Source organism: Homo sapiens, chromosome 18 (genome assembly GCF_000001405.40).
Source record: "Homo sapiens chromosome 18, GRCh38.p14 Primary Assembly".
Lineage (NCBI taxonomy): Eukaryota > Metazoa > Chordata > Mammalia > Primates > Hominidae > Homo > Homo sapiens.
In genome coordinates, this window is record NC_000018.10 from 37,809,076 (window position 1) to 37,811,261 (window position 2,186).

Consider the following 2,186-nt stretch of genomic DNA (forward strand, 5'->3'; position numbering starts at 1 on the left):
AGAACGTTACTCTTAGCAGGTGCCTATCATGGAAGAAAAGGGAAGAGGCATCTGGGCTGTTCTCTGTGATTTGATAATAAACATGAGAGACATGCTCACTCTGAAACAGAGGGCAAGGCATGATGAAAAAGACCAGGAGCAGTGGCTGTCAGCCCTGGCTACTCATTAAAGTCATCTGAGATTTTAAACTCACCTGGGGAGTTGCCCATCTACCTACTTCCCACAAAAGGTTCATGGTACAGGGCTCTGGGATCGGCTGGTCTTCACCTCCCAGGCCTGATGAGGGAGAATTCATATTCTCTGCTATCATAGGAGGTAGGTCATTGTAGAGTCACAGGAGGCAAAGGTTGCTTCAACCTTCACAGACCTCAACTCTAATCATAGCCTGGAAATAATAGGAAGGAAAAACAGTGCTGGGTGCCCTCTAAATCTCGTGGGCTTTAATGTGTGTTAGTAATAAAGCAGGTAAGTCATTGATTTAAACATATGATTTCTCACTTGATACAATGTTCCTTTAATTTCTAATTCCTACCCTGCAATGCTGGCTCATACGATTGGGATAATACCATCATTGTGTTCTTTCATCGTTTAGTATAACAAAGAACCAAATGCATGATTTTAATAAAAAATATTAAGTTAAGGTTCTTTTCTCTGTTGCGTGCATCCAGGAAGAAATTCCTTTGATATAATAAGGCAATTATTGGGTTTTAATTAAGTGACGGGTGATCATGAGAGCCATGATTTTTGGAAGGTTTTTTTTTTTAACTTCAGTTTCATAAAGCTTAAAAAATCTACAATGCTTTTTGGCAAGCACTATAATTTATATTCAACCAATAGAGAAACTCTTTCAAATATATTTTTTGGAATGCTAATCAGCATTAATCAAGCAGAAGCATGTTTTGAACTATCTTCTTCTGTAGCCCTATTTTTCTCCTTTCTGTGTTCAGTTTCTTTTGATTAAAAAAAAAAAAGTCTGTGCACATGGACTTGGATCAGACAGATCCTGGGGATGGAAGCTGTGCCCAGGAACAACTCTTGGCAAAATTGGAAAATGGGCTCTGTTGGCCTTCATCAAATACAACTGAACTCAACCTCCCGCACACTCCCTCATTCCTTACCCACTCCCTGCAGGCCCGTAAAGCCCTAATCAGTGGTTTTCATGTAGAACATTGCTTTTTAAAGCTCCAGTTTATAGTATTTACCTTTTTCCATGGTTAAATACTTGCACAGTGGCTGATTGCAAGCTACCAACCTGAAGTCTCATTGAAGCAGGGAAGGAATATACAAATTGAACTCCTGCAATCTGATCCAGTAGAAGCTGGCTCCTGCACATCACTTCCCCAATGCTGTCAGCTTCTCCTGCCATCTGTGTCAAAACTCACCATCTGAACAGGATTGTATATCAGTCCCTTACACCTTTGTGAATTCCAGCCCCTGAGCTTCCTGCCTCAGAGAATGTGTCTTTCCATTTTGGAAAAGAAAACAGGCCTTTTCATGTCAATGAGCAGGGAGAGAAGATACTCCAGGGAAGAAGAGAAGACTGACTTCCAAAAGCACATATTCGTGTCATGAGAAGAACATGGGAGAAGAAGGCATGAGGGCTGGGTTTTTGTCCTGAGCCTCTCACCTGTGTGACCTTGGACAAGGCATACATACCTCTTCTCTGGTCCTTGGATTTTGCATGACAGGGTGAGCCACCTGGCCTCCCCAAGCTCTCTCAGCCCTGATATGTTACCATTCCATGTGGCATCTGATGCCAACCATGCTTAATCAGAAAACTAGGAGCAGGGATGAAGTGTGGCAATGAGGACCAACAAAATTGTTTTATCATGTTTGTCCAACCAATTGATATTAAAAAAGTGAAGAAGAATATGAAGGAGTTAATGAACCTCCTTAAGTGACAGAGACTTCACAAACTTTGGAATAGTTTTAGCCTTTCGCCAGCATTTGTTAAAGTTCAGAGCATCTATTCCTTGTAATAAAGTGGTATGTATTTATCATACAATCGTTACCTTATTAAGCTATAATAAATGTCCAGTGAAGTGCATATAGGCCATTTCTGTTGCAATTTAATTACCAGCACAGTTAATTAGGCAATATACTCCATCACCATTTTTATTTAAATGGTGTCTTGACTTTATTAAACAGTTTTGAGGAGGGATGGGTGGACCCAAAGCCCTTGATTA